At 37.0% G+C, this 17,983-nt stretch overlaps 2 long non-coding RNA genes across 2 annotated transcripts in view; one reads left to right on the forward strand and one right to left on the reverse strand.

Annotated features, from left to right (window-relative positions):
- LOC107986229 (uncharacterized) overlaps positions 1-17,741 on the reverse strand; it is a 35,506-nt gene extending 17,765 nt beyond the window's left edge. Inside the window, exons 1-2 of the long non-coding RNA XR_001741513.2 lie at positions 17,649-17,741; positions 16,651-16,730 (exon numbers count right to left, since the gene is read on the reverse strand). This is a non-coding gene — a long non-coding RNA (uncharacterized LOC107986229). The remainder of the gene's footprint in view (positions 1-16,650; positions 16,731-17,648) is intronic.
- LOC124900716 (uncharacterized) lies at positions 2,857-13,673 on the forward strand. The gene is made up of 2 exons (XR_007058141.1): positions 2,857-2,946; positions 11,521-13,673. It is a non-coding gene; the product is annotated as an uncharacterized LOC124900716 (long non-coding RNA).
- Positions 17,742-17,983: the final 242 nt, after the last annotated feature.

Below are 17,983 nucleotides of genomic sequence, written 5' to 3' on the forward strand. Positions count from 1 at the left end.
GGCATGTATACCTATGTAACAAACCTGTACGTCCTGCACATGTGTCCTTTTTTTTTTTAGAAGAAGAAATAAAGCAAAAAAAAAGAGAAAACCTTAATAACTTTATGCCTCAAGTAACTAGAAAAAGAACAATGAACTAAGCCCAAAGTAGCATGCAAAATGAAATAATAAAGATTAGAGTAGAAATAAATGGACTAGAAAATAGAAAAACACTAGAAAGATAAAAAAGATAATATTTTTTGCAAAGGTAAGTAAAATTGACAATTCACTAGATAGACTAAGAAAAAAGAGAGGAGAGCTAAACAAATAAAATCAGAAATGACAGAGTTGACATTACAACTGATGTTTATGAAATAAAAAAATAAAGGCCTATTATAAACAATTACATTCTAACAAATTGGACAACCTAGAGGACATAGATATATCCTTAGACAAATACAAACTACCGAGACTGAATCAAGAATAAATAGAAATCTTGAACAAACCAACAATTAATGAGGATATTGAATTAGCAATCAAAACTTGCCAAAAAAGAAAAGTCCAAGACCAGGTAGCCTTACAGATAAATTCTGCCAAACATTTAAAAAAGAACTAATAACAGACCTTATTAAATACTTCCAAAATACAAAAGGGAACACTGCAATCTCATTTTATGAGGCTATCACCTTACTACCAAAACCAGACAGACTCCACAAAAAATGAAAACTATAGGCCAATATTCCTGATGAAAATAGATGTAAAAATCGTCAATAATATGTTTGCAACATGAATTTTGCAATGTGAATTCAATAGTACATTAAAACGATGACATCATGACTAAGTGGAATTTATCCTTGAGATGCAAAAATGGTTCAACATATACAAATTAAACGATGTCGTACATTACTTAACAGAAAGAAGGATGAAAATTATATGATAATCTCAATGGATGCAGAAAGAGCATTTGACTAAATTCAACACCCTTTTATAGTAAGGAGTCTCAATAAATTAGGTATAGAAAAAATTTACCTCAACATAATAAAGGCCATATAGGAAAAGCCCACAGGTAACACTATACTAAATTGTGAAAAACTCAAAGCTTTTCCTGTAAGATCAGGGAAAAGGTAAGAATGTTCGCTTTTACTATTTCTATTCAAAATAGTACTAGAAGCCCTAACCAGAGAAATTAGGCAGGAAAAGAAAAAGGTATCCAAATTAGAAAGGAAGAAATAAAATTACCTCTGTTTACAGACAACATCATCTTATGTATGGACAACCCTAAAGACTACACAGACACACACACACACACACACACACACACACACACACACACACAACCTATCCGAACTAACATACAAATTCATTAAAGTTACAGGATACAAAATCAGCATTCAAAACTCAGTTGTGTTTTTACACACTAACAACAAACTTTCTGAAAAGAAATAAACTCAAAATGGATTAAAGACTTAAGCATAATACCTGTATCCATGAAACTCCTAGAAGAAAACATAGGGAAAAAAACATCTTGACCTTTCCTTTGGAAATTGTTTATTCGATATGACACTGAAAACAAGGCAACAAAAGCAAAAGTAGATGAATGGAATTACATCAAACTAAAAGGCTTCAGTACAGCAAAGAAAAACAACAAAATTAAGTAGCAATATATAGAATAGGAGAAAATATTTGTAAACTGTGTATCTCATAAAATGCTAATATCCAAATATATAAAGAACTACTATAACTCGATAGCAAAGAAAAAATCTGATTTAAAAATACGTGAAGGAACTGACTGGACATCACTCCAAAGAAGACATACAAATGGCTGAAAGGTAAACGGACAGTGCTTAACATCATTAATCATCAGGGAAATGCAAATCAAAACCACAATGAGATATCCCCTTATACCTAGTGTTGTCGAAAACGTAGAGAAAAAGGAATCCTTGTACATTGTTGGTGGGAATGTGAATTGGTATAGCCACTATGGAAAATAGTATGGAAGTTCCTCAAAAAATTAAAAATAGGACTCCCATATGATCCATCAATCCCTCTTCTGGACATATATCCAAAGGAAATGAATCAATATGTCAAAGATATATCTACACACATATGTTCATTGCAGCATTATTCACAATAGCCAAGACATGGAAGAAATCAGAATGTCTATTTATGGATGCATAGATAAAGACAAAGTTACACACACACACACACTCCCTCACACTTACAGAGGGGAATATTATTCATCGTTAAAAAAGAAGAAAATCTTGCAATTTTTGACAACATGGATTAATCTGAAGGACATTATGCCAAGTGAAATAAACCAGACACAGAAAAAATATTCTACATGATTTCACTTATGAGGAATCTAAAACAGTCAAACTAATGGAAGCAGAGAGTAGAAGGTGGTTGCCAGGGGTTGTGGGGAGGGGGAAATTAGGAGTTATTGTCAATTGGTACAAAGTTTCAGTCAAGCAAGATGAATAAGACCTAGTCTATTATATGGCATAGTAGTACTTATAGTTTATTGTACTATAACTTAAAATTTACTAAGGTGATAGATCTTATGTTAAGTGTTCTTATCATGAATTATAATAATTGTAATTGATAAAGGGGACATGAGAAAACTTCTGGATGTGGTATGTTTATGGCATTAATTATGGTAGTGGTTTTACAAGTATATTTTATTTAAGCTCATCAAGTTATATAGATTAAGTATGTACAGTTTTTGTAGGTCAATTGAACCACAATAAAGTGGTTTTTTAAAAAAGAAAAAGACTATGGTGCTAGAGACAACAAGCTGTTCACGACATTTGGGTTTTCTTCCTTTGCTGGAACAGAAAGGTGAAGGGTTGAGATCTATGAATCATTTTTATTTTCTAGGTTCCAGTTCCTTAGAATCCTAAGCCTCAATACCACAAAGAAAAGGGAAACAAAAAAGTGCTGAAATCAGCTCCTTTGGAAGTGCAGCAGGTGAGGAGAAACCCGTACGCTTTAAAACTAGAGACACTGACACACACATAAAATATGTTACAAATGCCAGGTGTGAAGGGATCAATGAATCTAAGATGTCTGTTACCCATTTGTAGCACATTGGTTGGGAAGCTCTGAAATAGGAAAGATCACTTTATCTGATTTCTCAAGATATTGAAGGTAATAATTTTTACTTTTTGATATTAATGGCTGGCAAAACCAACTATTATATTACTTGTAGTAGAAGGCAGAAGTCTATTACAAAAACTGCAAGGACTTGGGTGATCACCACTGTTTTGAATTCCCTAGAAACGGCTCTGCCTGTGAAAAATTCTTTCTAAGATTATTAATTTTTTAATCAATAGAAGAAAGCATTTAAGAAAATCAAAATGACAGGCTTTTTATATTAAAGTTGTCATAAGGACTTATAATTCTTTCATAGATGATAACATAATAAAAAGTGCTAGTAAAAAATCTGATTTATACATGATTCCCAGTCTCAGAAACAGCAGTGTCTCAACAAAACTTTAGGGAATGTATAAAATAATTCCTGGGATTTTATCCATGAATACAATTAGTATTGAAAACATTTTCCTTGTTGGATTCATATGCAGGTAAGTCTTAGTAATTTCTGCCAATGAAACAAAACAGCAACAGCCAGGTTAAAGATTTGGAAACCTGTAAAGTGAAACTTAAAAACTAAGAGCAATATTATTGCTGAATATATTTTACATCCATTACTTTAATTAATTTCATATACAGAAACTAGAGGAATGACTAATATTTGTTTATGCCAACTGTATTTTAAGCTACTTGCTTGAGTGAAAGATAAGGCCATTTCCTTTCACAAGTCAATAATTTTTTTCTTAAACCCTTATTAACAATATTCAGTTGCTTAACAAAATCTAATTAGAATTGATACTATGTGGGTATACTTTTACTTAGCACACATTGGAATAATCTTAGATTTTGAATCAGCTGCAGTGTAGTATAACAACGTTTTATTCTAAATTCTAGACTCTTTTCAAAGCTGTAAAGAAAGACTATGTCTCTACGGAGTTAGCAGTTTAATATTCTTCACTCCACGAAACAACCAATTAAATTCATTGAACCTTTTCCTCCACAGAAAATTCAACGCAGAGAAAAGACCCAATCTAATAGCCTCAACTTAGAACTATTGCTTCTAGAAGCAGGAATAAAGATTATCGTCTCTGCACTTAGACTCAGCCAGAACGGCATGTAATTTAATATGTATTAATGCATACATTGTGTATTGGGGTCCAGTGAATTTAAAGAAGAAAGAATTAGGCAGACAAAACTATCCTCTTTTCAGCATCAACACCATGCTTACCATCTGTTTTTAAAGTTCTTTTTTATATAATTGAATAGCTACCTATTCATAATGACAACCTGTATACATGCATGTGTGCCTACACCCATATGCACACAATACATGCGCACACACAGCCATAGCAGTGGCAGCTGTATTTCCTCTTCTTCCTCATTCTTCTTACCATTTTAACTCTGCTCCAAAATGGTTTTGGATAGAAGAATGATCTTGCAAATATATCCACATCTTAATCCACAAAACCTGTGAATATGCTACCTTACATGCAGAAGAAACTTTGCAGATGTGTGTAAGGTTAGGGAAGCTGAGATGGAGAGATTCCCCCAGATTATTTTCGTAGGCCCAATGTAATCACACAAATCCTTAAAGTCAGAGAATATGTCATAGATATGATTAGAGAGAGAGATGACAAAAGAAGAAGGGCTGGAGGATGGAAGGAGAGTCTGACCTGAGCCAAAGAAGGTGGATATCTTTTAGAAGCTAGAAATGGATCTCAGTTGACTGCTAACAAGTAAATGGGGACCACAGTCCTACAACCACAAGGAACTGAATTCAGCTGACAATCCAAATGATAAAGGGAACAGAATCACCCTGAAAGCCTCCAAAATGAATGCAGCTTCTAGCAACTTGATTCAGCCCAGTGAGATCCATATCAGATGGATGACCTATAGTACTTTAAAATAACAAGTCTGTATTGTTTAGAACACTAAATTTGTGGTGATTTGTTATAGCAGCAACAGAAAACTAATGTACTAAAATATGTAAACAAGGAAAAATTGTACTCTAAGAAACAACAAAGACAGTTCTGTCTACATCTGCATATTTCAGATGTAGAATGATCTTAGATTATTCTGAGGCATGTTCTAGTTATTTTCTAGAAATAAATGGCCTAAGGCCAGATCCTCAAAAATTACTGCAGGCTTTTACACAATGGCAGAGTATGAAAGTAAATGCTGCAGATGCCATCATTGAGAGATGTAGGATGTTTCTAGGGCCAGCTTTGCCTCTTGAATATGTGTATCAGCTACTCTGGTTCTGGCCAACACCAGAGCACACTGCTTTGTCACTGCAGGATGACATTTAGATAAAAAGGGTGTTGCTTCCTTCCTAACCTGTTGTGCTTCCAAAGGAGCACATTATTCTTACTAATACTGACAGTCGGGGTACATCTTTTTGCTTTTCCTTTGTTACTAATATTGAAGATTGGGATTATAAAAGACTTTAACTTAAACAATATGAAAGATCCATTAGGTTTCAGGCCTTCATCTTTCTGATCTAAATAGAGGGACAAAATTTAAGATATTATGAACATTGGTACACACATGTGATGCTCCAAGAATCTGAAGTCTCCAGAAAGAGGGCCTTCCAGATGATAGATACAGAGTGAGTGGTGGTTTAGAGATGAGCTCTAGGGTCTGACTTCTTGGGCCGGAATTGCAGCTCTGTCACTTCCAAGCTGAGGGAATTAAGCAAATAATTGCTTAATCTTTCTTTCAATTAAGGATGGTCAATAGAGTGATTAGCTCATAAGGCTGTTGTGTGGATTATAAGTGCTCAACAGATGTCTTCTATTTTTATTAAATATTTACTGAGTTGACTGGATAGAATGATGTCACCCTTTGTCCTTTCTTTACAGGTAAGACATTGGGTGGCCAGTCAGAACATTTATTACTAAAACATTTCCTTACTATAGGAAATGCATCAAGCCTGACTGGAGATAAATAATAAGACACTTAGAGTAGAGGTGTTTTTTTAAACTTCCATAAAAAACAAAACATTTAGACTAGAGGTGGCTTTTTAAACTTCCCACGACTCCTGGGCTGCATGAGGATTTGGAAAGAGTATCGAGAGATCAAAATCAATTTTCTCAAAATTACCTACTTTCCCATAGTTCTCCAAAGAATTCTGTCTTACTACTAGAAAATCAGGCAGATGAAAACCCATGTGGAGTGACTGGAGGAGCACTGAGGGGGGGTGGGGAATCTCAAACTATCTCCTCACTGGCTGCTCTAGAACCTGAAATACATCATTTGCTAATCATCTCTTTGACAAGGAAGGCTAAGAGGTTTCTTGGACCCTTACAAAGTAGATGAATAGCTTTGTTTCGTATGGAAAGGATGAGTGAGGACAGGTAAAGAGTAGAAATGAATGGCTTGAAATGATCTAATTAGTATTTTAGAATCAAAGGCTATACCAAGACATGGGAAGAAACACTACAGATAACTTATAATGCAGTTTTTATTTGTCTTAAATTTATTCATGCAGGTAGCTTACAGGATTATGTGACACGTAAGCCTTGTTTCACCCACTGGTTCCCAATCATTTCTTGCTCCTCAAAAGCAACTATTTCCAACTTGTTTGATTTTTTAAAAATTTTTGGCTGGGCGTGGTGGCTCACATCTGTAATTCCAGCACTTTGGGAGGCAGAGGTGGGTGGATCACTTGAGGTGGGGAGTTCAAGACTAGTCTGGCCAACACCCCCGTCTGTACTAAAAATACAAAAATTAGCCAGGTGTAGTGGCGCACATATGTAATCCCAGCTACTTGGGAGGCCGAGGCAAGAGAACTGCTTGAACCTGGGAGGCAGAGGTTGCAGTAAGCCAAGATCATGCCACTGCACTCCAGCCTGGGAAACAGAGAGAGACTCCATATAAAATAATAATAATAATAATACATAAAAACTAATTTAAAAAAATAAAAAAATTCCATATCACTAGCTAGCATGCTTATTTATATTGCTTAATATTATTTCAGTTCTAAGCCCTACATGTTGGCTTCCAGCTGCAGATAATAAAGGTTTTGTTTTTTCTCATACTCTACCTGCAGTCACACCATACATGTGAATACACTCCTGCTGCTGTCTCCCGATGTGATAACAAGCAGATTGATATCCACTGTTTACATTGTTATGATGATGGAGATGCTTTTGGCAGTGGAGCCATTTCATATCTCTTGAGTATCTTTTCTTTCTTTTTGACTTTTTCCACTTTTAAGTTCTTTTGAATCCCAAGGCTCTATCTCATTTTCCTTTGCCAATTTTTCTATTTATCACGAACTTATGGAAACTCTTCTCCAGCTGTGTTAATCTTCTTTCCATGTATTCAAATATTAAGTACGTTAAGTAGCCTATCAATTTTACCTTCCTATAATCTCTCTCCAGTCCTTCTGATCTGCCCCAGTCTAGTTTGGTTAATCTCAAGGCCTGCTACCTTACCATGATTTTGGTGATTTCTATCCCCACCATCCTTTGTTGTATCCCTTGTTTGTCAGACTTTGTCTTCCTCTTTCATGGTTCACTTTCCTGTTTTCATAGACAATATCCTCTAGGAGTTTCCTCCTCATTCAGTCAATCAACTTTTTGCTACATACCCAGTGCAATGCACTGTTCCAGGCACTGAGGGTGCAGTGGGGATGCATCCTGATGGGACTATATTTTGAAAAGCACCAAGATAGAAAAGGACCAAACTGCTTCCATCCACTTGCAGCAAAGACAATCCTGTCCCATCGGCCCTACAGAGCAGTGATGCTGTAGGAGAGAGTTGGCAACATCTTCCTAGTATCCAGTTCCCATCTTTTCAGGTGAAAACATCCTTTTCTCTGGGAATGGTGCCTGCCTCCCCTACTTCATGTGATCATGACCACATGGTCTAGCCTGGGGATAGACAGATAGCAAAAGCTGAGCTTTTATATACAGACTTTTAGTGCATAGTCTGAGGTCACTAAACAGAATTATACACTTAGAGCTCTCCATAGCTATGCCCCCTTTACCCCTTGAGCATGGAAGTTTGCTCCATTCAAAACTTGCCTCATTCTCTAGAGGTACAGTGCATGTACTCTGTGTAAGACATTGCACCAAATCCCATGAGCTACACCTGAAGAAAGCCTGCCTGCATACGGATAGAATAAGGTTAATGTAGACAGAATCAAAGTTGAGAGAGAAAGAGACAGAGAGACAGAGAGATCCACATCATTTGTCTGTCCAGTACACCTCCAAGTTCTACCCTTGGAATCCCAAATCCTTCCAGGCACTTAATTTCCCCCTTTTGCTTAGCTAATTTGATCTGAGTAATGAAAAGCAGTAAAAGAGAAATCAGCTATTGCAGAAAAATATTTGGAAGATACTCTATTAAAGGCCTGAGATCTCCCTCACAATCCAGTGTAATGGCTTTTCCCTCTCCCAGAAAATAAGATGAGATTAAATAAAATTCTCCAATGTCTCTGGACCCCTTCCAAATGACATTCCACACATCTGCAGTAAAGAAGGAGAGCAGATGAATATGTAAGATCAGCACATTCCCTATGAAAAGAACACCTTTGTCAGGACATAGTCTCTATGAGGTCAGGGATTTTTCTAATAATATTCACTCCTATGTCCCTCATGCTTAGAAAAGTATTTGTTGAATGGATATACACAGGCATATATTCATATGCTTGAATGAACTTCTAACACATAAAAGATTGAAGGCCTATCATTGTCCTCAACAAGAGAAATAGAGAACATTGTGTTGGGTGTTTGCCATAGGCCCTTAAGTTTTGTCTGAGTGAAACAATGAAAGAAGAAGACATCTCCATTCTTTGTCCCCCTAACCCCACCAAAAAATGTTTTTTCTTTTCTTTTTTTTTTTTTTTTTTGTTTTTTTTGAGACAGAGTCTCACTGTGACACTCAGGCTGGAGTGCAGTGGTACAATCTTGCCTCAGTGCAACCTCTGCCTTCTGGGTTAAAGCAACCCTCCTGCCTCAGCCTCCTGAGTAGCTGGGGACTGCAAGCATGCACCACCACACCTGGTTAATTTTTATATTTTTAGTAGAGATGGGGTTTTTCCATGTTGGTCAGGCTGGTCCCGAACTCCTGACTTCAAGTGATCTGCCCACCAGAAGATTTTTAAGGTTCATGACTTCTAATTGGATCAGATAAACCCTAAAGGGGTTATTGAATCACAACTTCAGGCAGAAGTACTAGGACGATTTCTACCCCATTGCAATGAAAGAAAACAAAGTACAGTCCCTCCTACAGAGGGAAGATAGTGCCGATTTTGACAGAATATAAAACACAAAGTAAAGGCAAAAAGAAAAAAAATATTTTCTTAACACTTTTGGATAAAACCAGGCTTATCTTTGTTCTCAAGCTATTTCCAGGGAGCTAGAGTGGATGGGCCACTTAGCAATATCCTTATACACACAATCCTTATTAGAAGATTGCTTCATGATGAAATGTCAGGCAACCCATCAAAATGCTATTGATTATGTTATTAAAGAGTACAGATAGAAAATAATAAATCAATTGTGGTTGTTGCTTATTCAGACTTTTAAAGATATGTGAACAACCTGAGACTTCATCTTTAGAGAAGTGGATGAGGTTTAAATGGGGCAAGACTTCTTTTCCAGATAACCAATATATCACTTTTTAGCTGAAAGGGACATAAAAACTCCATTTGGAGGCTGAGGGTATATTTTTCAATGTCTCAAATGAGCTTCTCTTTGAAATATTAATGATTCGTCTCAATGGTGCCCAAGGAAGAAGTATTGATGGTCAGACAACCAAAACTACCTTCAAATTTGATGGTATTTTTGTTACATATGCTACATTCAATGGAAACATTCAAGAGAAACTTTCTAGCATAGACTAAAAGATACAGCAAGACAAACCCTCACCACTTGGTGCTGAGGGACAAATCCAGCAAGTCATGTTGGAGTGTTTGTCTCCCTGCCATTGTCACTGTGAGACCCAGTTATTGGTATGAAGAGGTGTTGGGAAAAGACTATTACTGATTGCTTATGTCAACTAAACAGATAAGCCAAGATGAAAGATCTGTAGTTAATGGTTTTTCTGCTTTTGCTCGACATAAAATCTAAATTGTTCATGTTGACATACTCATAATGAAATGAGTTAACTCTGAGAGTTATTTGGCCACTTTTTGTTCTGTTTTGTGTGTTGAAGCTAGGTGCTAATCTCACAAGCACATTCATTTTCAATTTTGCTAGTCTTTCTTCATAGAACTTCTTCTGATTTTTATGTTTTTATATGTTCATTTTTTATCTCCCACCCTTGAAAGTAAACTCTATTCTTTGTCTAGCATGTATAGCAGTGTCATCTCAGCTCCTACTATTCATAATAGGTCCCCAATAAATAATTGATAAATGACAGGAGGCTTTGCCAGCATTAGTCACCTTCCCTCAGAAGATTTCCATCTCTTCCTAACTTCAATTTTTGAAATAGAAGGCATATGAACACACTGTAATTCTTCCCCTTAAAGAATGAAAATTGGCCAGGAGCGGTGGCTCACGCCTATAATCCCAGTACTTTTGGAGGCTGAGGCAGGCGGATCACGAGGTCAGGAGATCCAGACCATCCTGGCTAACACGGTGAAATCCCGTCTCTACTAAAAATACAAAAAAAATTAGCCAGGCTAGGAGGCGGGCGCCTGTAGTCCCAGCTACTCGGGAGGCTGAGGCAGGAGAGTGGCGTGAACCCGGGAGGCGGAGCTTGCAGTGAGCCGAGATGACGCCACTGCACTCCAGCCTAGGCGACAGAGCAAGACTCCGTCTCAAAAAAAAAAAAAAAAAAAAAAAGAATGAAAATTCACCTCAGACGCCCTTACCAGAGGACTGGCATTTGGAAAAAGAATCTAATACTAATTTTCCTGCTGAAAGAAGACTGCTGATAAAGATGATTATAATAGTCCTGGTTGGTAAACTTATTTTGATGATGCATTAACTATAGCTGGGTTTTCACCTATATGCTTTCAAAACATACACAGAAAGGGATTAACTTGAGTGGCTAAATCAATATGGTTGTTAAAACTAGCAGATTAAGTAGTTATACAGTAAGTACAGATGACAGAGTACAATACAAAAATTGCTTATTACTCATCCTTAAATAAATTAATCATCTATTATGGACAGAGAAAACAAATAACTTCATCCAGGGAAACTCACTGAGAGAACACACTTCCTTAACATAAACAGTGGAAACAGAAATCATGTTTCATGAAGTAGTTTTCAAATATGCAGAGTCAATATGGTCTACAGTAACAAAATGAAGATTATTACTTTTCTTCAGTTGAATTTGCCTTATATAACCAACCAGTGTGTGAGTTGGTGAAAATGCCTGTATTGTCATATGGTTTTATAACATGGGGGTTAGACAGACCTGATTTATGTATTAGTTTCCTATTGCTGCTATAAAAATTTACCACAAACTTATTATTATTTTTTTTTTCCACAGAGTTTCGCTCTGTTGCCAGGCTGGAGTGTAGTGGCGCGATCTTGGCTCACTGCAGCCTCCGCCTCCTAGATTCAAGCAATTCTCCTGCCTCAGTCTCCTGAGTAGCTGGGACTACAGGCGCGCGCCGCCACGCCCGGCTAATCTTTTTGGATTTTTAGTAGAGATGGGGTTTCAACATGTTGGACAGGATGGTCTCAATCTCCTGACTTCGCGATCCGTCTGCCTCGGCCTCCAAAGTGTTGGGATTACAGGCGTGAGCCACCGCGCCCGGCTAAACTTACGGTTTTAAACAACATAAGTTTATCATTTTATAGTCCTGGAGGTCTGAAGACTGAAATGGGTGAACAAGGCTAAAATTCAGGTGTCAGGAGGGCTGCTTTTCTACTGGAAGCTCTGGAGGATAATCTGTTTCTTGTCTTTTCTAGCTTCTAGAGGCTACATGCATTCTTTGGATCATGGCACCTTTCTCCCACATTCAAAGCTCATGACTCTAACCTCTGCTTCCACCATCAGATCTGTTCTCTGACTCTAACCCTCCTGCCTCCCTTTTATAAAAACCCTTGTGTTACATGGAGTGCGTTACACTACCCAATTAATCAAGGATAATCTTCCCTCTCAAAATCCTTAGTTTAATTTTATCTCCTAACTCTTTCTTGCCATGTAAAGTGACATATAGGTTCCAGAGATTAGGACATGGACATCTTTAGGGGATTATTGCACTGTTTACCACTGTTTATATGCCTGCTTTGCCAATTATAAGGTGAAATTTGATGTTTCTGACCGTTTTTTATGTCTAGAATGGGAATTATTACAAATCTCAGTGTTGCGAGAATTAAAGGAGACAAGTAGTATAAAGCATTTACTACACTGGCTGGCACACGGTATCAATACATTATAGTTAGTATGCAGGTTTTATTATCCTTGGATTTGGTAAATATGACAGACTGGTTCTTTGATTGACTCTAATTATAGACACATAAACCCTGGAAGTACAAAAGCTTTAATTTTTCATTTGCTTAAATGAAAGCCAATGTCTCATGTTTTCAATTTCTATAGCAAAACAATATGACCTATTCCTTAAAAGGGAAATAATAATGAGATCTCAAGAAGGAAATAGAAAGAAACAATAAACATTTTAGAAAGTTTTGGCTATAGGAATTTTAACCAAAAGCCAATTTTATAACTGAGGGCACACTGACCCAGACACTCTCTGAACAGTGCCCCCGAGCACTCACCAGCTAGAAGCGTTTGCAGGATGGTTTTCAGTTCTGTTTGCTTTACTAGTAATTGGCTCTTTGGGTGGTGAGTGGGGAATACAGATACACACATAGTGGACAAACACACACCCACACATGTAATTTCAAAGAAAAGCAGCATATTAGCAAAGTACTGTGAGCAGTTGTCTTAAATAGGTTATGCGTGTACTCAATAAAGTAAGTTTCTTCCCTTTTACTTACTTATGAAAATTACTTAAAAATGCACTGTACATGTGTGCAAAAAATATGAATATATTCTATCAAGGAGCACTTTTGATTTTTTTTCCTTAAAAGCTATGTAATAATTCATGCATATGTATATTTAAGTAGTTCATCTTTAGCAGTCTGCCCACTTGGGGAATTTATTTTTATCTCTAATTTAATTCCAATTTTTCTTGCAGAGAGTTAAAAGCTAGTTATACTTTGTGTAAAAGACAGTCCAACATTTGAAGATTATTATAAAAGTCATACTAACATTTATATAACAATCCTATAATTTGATATAAATCTGTTAGTTGTGTCTTCATTTACATCTTATTTATGTTTAACTTCATACACTATGAAGATGATATTTGTTACCTTTTGGCTCTTTTATAATTTGGTTCGTTTTGATGTGAGTTTTTTAGGAAAATTAGCAAGTAATAGAAAAAAATCATTTAGCAAGTATATATTGAACATTTATTATATTAATGTCCTGTTATATTGATCTCCTATTATATTCCGGGTCATGGAGTGGAACAAGTGAACCTGAATCCCAACTCTCATGGAATTTACATGTAGGGGACTATAGACAATGGAGAAATCAATAACATGTTGGTATGTTTGTTGTACTATGGCAGTGATATGTACTATGAAGAAAAATAACAAAAATAAAGGGGCATTAGGGAAGAAAAACAATAAGAAGTTGTATTTCAGACTGAGTATGAACAAAGAAGCTCCCAACTGCTGTCAGCTAAGAGATGGCCAAAGTGTTCTCTGGTTAGACATAAATAATTTTGCAGAAAAGTAAAATCAGACCAGACCACCTTTGTGACTGTATTAGAACAAGACAAAACCAAAACCCAATAGTAACCCTATCTGAGCACAGATAAACACAGTAATATTGTGCAAATCGCAAAAATGATCAAACATTCCCTTCATCCAGCTAATATAAATAATAGCTTTTGCTGATTCTTCATCAATTATAGCTTTAGTCTCACACCATTCATCCTAGTTAAAAATTGTTAAGAATTGCCCATTTTCTGACAGCCTCCAATATGGAAGCAAAATCATGCTTCACTGAATCCTCCCTAAAATCACCTAGCACAAACCTGAGCCCTATGACAAATTCCTTCTAAAACTCCCTTATTGTACACTACATGGCTACTCATGGTGTGTTTCTCTCACAGCAATGAGCCAAGAAGCCCAACACTGACTATAGGTGTGTTCCTCATGGTCTTTGGTTGAAAATCATAGACAAGAAAGTCACTTCTAATTTATGTGTATTTTATAGAAAGAGAGTCTTGCCATATTGCCCAGGCTGGTTTCGAACTCAAAATACAAAAATTAGCTGGGCGTGGTGGTGTGCATTTGTAGCCCCAGCTATAATACTTAGGTGGCTGAGGTGGAAGGATTACTTGAGGCCAGGAGGTCGAGGCTGCATTGAGCTGTGATCACACCACTGCACTCTAGAGTGACAGAATGAGACCCTGTCTCAGAAAAAAAAAAAAAAAGTCACTTGTGATTAATTGACAGTTAATAAAACACCTGAATAAAGTTAAAGAAGAACCATTTGGCTATGTGAAGAAAAGGGAAACAGTGAGTGCAAAGATCCTAAGGTAGGATCATTCCTGAGTAGGTTCAAATAAAACCCAGAATACAGAGATGGTTGAATCTGAATAGGTGAATAAAAGAGAGGAGGGAAATAAGGCCAGGTCCAAATTGTGAAGGGTCTTATATGCCATACATCAGACACTGAATATTTGTGTCTCCTCCAAATTCATATTCCCTAATCCCCAATGTGATCATATTTGGAGATGTGGGCCTTTGGAAGTTAGTCAGGGTGAACTGAGGTCATGAGAGCGGGGTCCTGGTCTAATAGGATTAGTGCCTTTATAAGAAGGCACTAATAAGAACAAGGGAGCTTGCTCTTTCTCTCTCTCTCTCTCCACTTGCATGCACCAAGGAAAGGCCATGCGAACACACGGTAAGAAGGTGGCCATCTGCAAGCCAAGAAGACAGCCCTCACCAGATCTCAATCATGCTGGAACCCTGATCTTGGACCTCCAGCCTCCAGAACTATGAGAAAACAAATTTCTGTTATTTAAGACACCAAAATCTAGGGTATTTTGTTATGGCAGTCTGAACAGACTAAGACACATAGTAAAGATACGAATTTTACCTCACTGGAAATGAATTGGAAACTTTTGAAGGATTTCAATAAAGGAGAGTAGGACCTGACTTATGATTTAATAGAATCAGTCTAGCTGCTCTGTTTAGAATATGTTGTAGGAAAGTTGGGAAAAGAAGCATGGGATCCAGCAAGGAATTCAGGCAGTAGATGGTGATGGCTTTTTCAATGTAGCAGGAATGAAAGTGGTGAGACAGGAACATTGAGGATAAAATATCCAACTGAAATACTGTCTTGGATATCAGATTTATTTTGAAAGTAGAGCCAACAGATTTGCTTACCCATTTAATGTAGACCATGAGAGATATAAAAAGATAAGCCAAAAAGGACTTCAAATCCTGAGATAATAGATGAATTCAGTTATCATTTTGCTTAGATACATAAATCATGGGGATGAATAGTTGGGGAGATTATAAGTTAAGATCTCAACTGTGGACAAGTTAAGTTTGAAATGTCTATTCTGTATTCAAGTGGAGATGCCCAGTAGACAAATTTCTGAACTGAAGCTCAAGGGACCAAAACTGTAAATGTAAGTTTAGGAATTTATATTTAATAGATGACATTTACAGTCATGAGCATGGACAACCTAGGAAATGAGAAGACGAAGGTCTGAGCCCTGTGACACTTCAACACAGGCTGGGAAAGAGCTGTCAGTGAGGAAAGAAAAAAAAAATGCAAGTGTTTAACCCTAGATCAAGCCTTGCTCCACATGATAAATGATCACCTAATAATAAGTGTCATATGACAAGCTTGGCCTGTAGGAGTGGTGTTTGTTTTAGCTCTTTCAAAAGTGTCTCATGTGGGTTCCACAAGATGATAGTTGAAATCCTGGGTGTGGCAATGTTTAAAAATTTATTTTTAATCTTACTCCTTCTTCTTTATTCCCTGGACTGAGTAGGGACTAATCCAGCCATTTTCTATGCAAGTGTTTCTCACAATAAGCATGAAAATTTTCTGGGTGCTTATTGAAAAATGCACATTCCTGAGCTCCAACTCAGATCCACTGAATCAGAAACTCTGAGAGTAGCATGCTGGAACTTACATTTATAATAAGTTCCCAAGTGAGTTGCCATGCACATTAATATGGAAAACAATAAGCTATTCTTGTATTCTCACCTTGTCATAAAGAAGGAAAGGAGTTAATTGTAAAGAGTCAAATTTGGGGCATTATAATGGGACAAGGATCTTTTAGAGAGGATAGCTAAACAAATACTATAATCAGATATTGGCATTACCACTCCTGGCCACTCATTACTTTGTAAGTATCTATAGATAGTCTCATTTTGATGAAAATAAGGAATGCATAGTATTTTTTCTAAAGATATCTTGGCACCAAAGTGAAAATATCTTTGCAGGTGTTGTGTCACAACCAGAATTCCCTACTTCCATTTAGAAAAACATTATTTAAGCTATTGCCTGCAGAAATGTTGCAACATATTGTTGGCAAACAAATCTAGCAGCCATAGCATGGAAAGAGAAACTTACCCTTTTGATGAGCTGGTTTTGTAGATTCTCCTTTTACTGTTGAATCCAAAGGTGCCCTCTACTAGTGGATTCTGGTTTGACTAGATTAGAAAGATGAAAAGTTGAGAATGTATTTTAGCAAAGTTATTTTTGAGCAACTATAGAAATAATAGTTTCCACCATTTGTTGGTGTGTGTATGTGCCAAGCACTATAGTAAGGCATATACTATTTTATTTAATCTTTACAATAGTGCTGTGTTACAAATGAGGGAGTTGATTTTAGGAAGTGTTGCAAGCTGGGGAGCAGGTGAAATGGATCACAGTACACAGGGAATTTATTAAGGAGTGCCCTTTGGATCAAAACTAGTTGAAAGGAGAGAAGAGAAGCAGTAGTAGGCAGAGGGAGGGAGGGGAAGAAGTTGAGCTGTGATGCAGCCTCAAAGAAAGCCTCAACCAACCACAGGGAGTTCTAAAGCTGTAAGGGTCCAACAGAGTGGTCTCAGGTTGGGGAAGTATGGCCATGCCTTTACTACCCAGCATCAGTCAGTAATTAAAGGCAGACTATACTGAAAAAAGGCATGACTTGGGGTAAGGAGCTTATTTGCAGCTGAGGCAATGCCTGAAGCAGCAGAGGAGCCAAAGGTTGTCTGCAAAGAGCACTTTCAAGTTGGGGCAAAAGAGGGATCTGGCCATTGAAGAGGGATCTGGGAGGCCCATTACAGTGCCCACCTCAGGGAACCAAGATGTCAGCTAGAATGTGAGAAAGCTGAGAAGTTTAATGTAAGACAGTTTGATTCTAAAAGTAATTGTCTAAATCAGGCTAAAGAATTTCACACATGTATTTTCAAGCCAGAGGTGAGTTATTAGAAAATGAACAGTTGCTATCATCAGGAATCATTTCTATAGATTGCGTTCCAGGATAATGCACAGGAGTATCAATTAACTCTTATTTGGTCTTCATATTTTTTAAGTATTTCCTCATTTTGAACATGTGGCCAGGCCAGTATATATTTTCTTACCTTAAGACTTTTGCAGGACAGAAAAGACTTGATGCTTGGAGTGAAGATATCTTTCTAAATACTAAGTTCATTGAAGAAATGATGTCTGCCACCCTGATGGGGGATGGGGAGAGAAGAGAGGGAGAATGGCTGAGGGGAACTGAATGAGAGAATGGCAACACTTGACAAAAAAAGAGGGAAAGGAAGAAATGAATCCCAATTTAAAGCAAATCTCAGTGTAATATGCTACAGTTTGCTTGTCTGTCCCTCCAAATTTCATGTTGAAATTTAATCCTCAATACTAGAAGTGGGGCCTAGTGAGAGGTGGGACAGACCTTTCACAAATGGCTTCGTGC

This window comes from Homo sapiens, chromosome 4, assembly GCF_000001405.40.
Source record: "Homo sapiens chromosome 4, GRCh38.p14 Primary Assembly".
In the NCBI taxonomy this organism is placed as follows: Eukaryota; Metazoa; Chordata; class Mammalia; order Primates; family Hominidae; genus Homo; species Homo sapiens.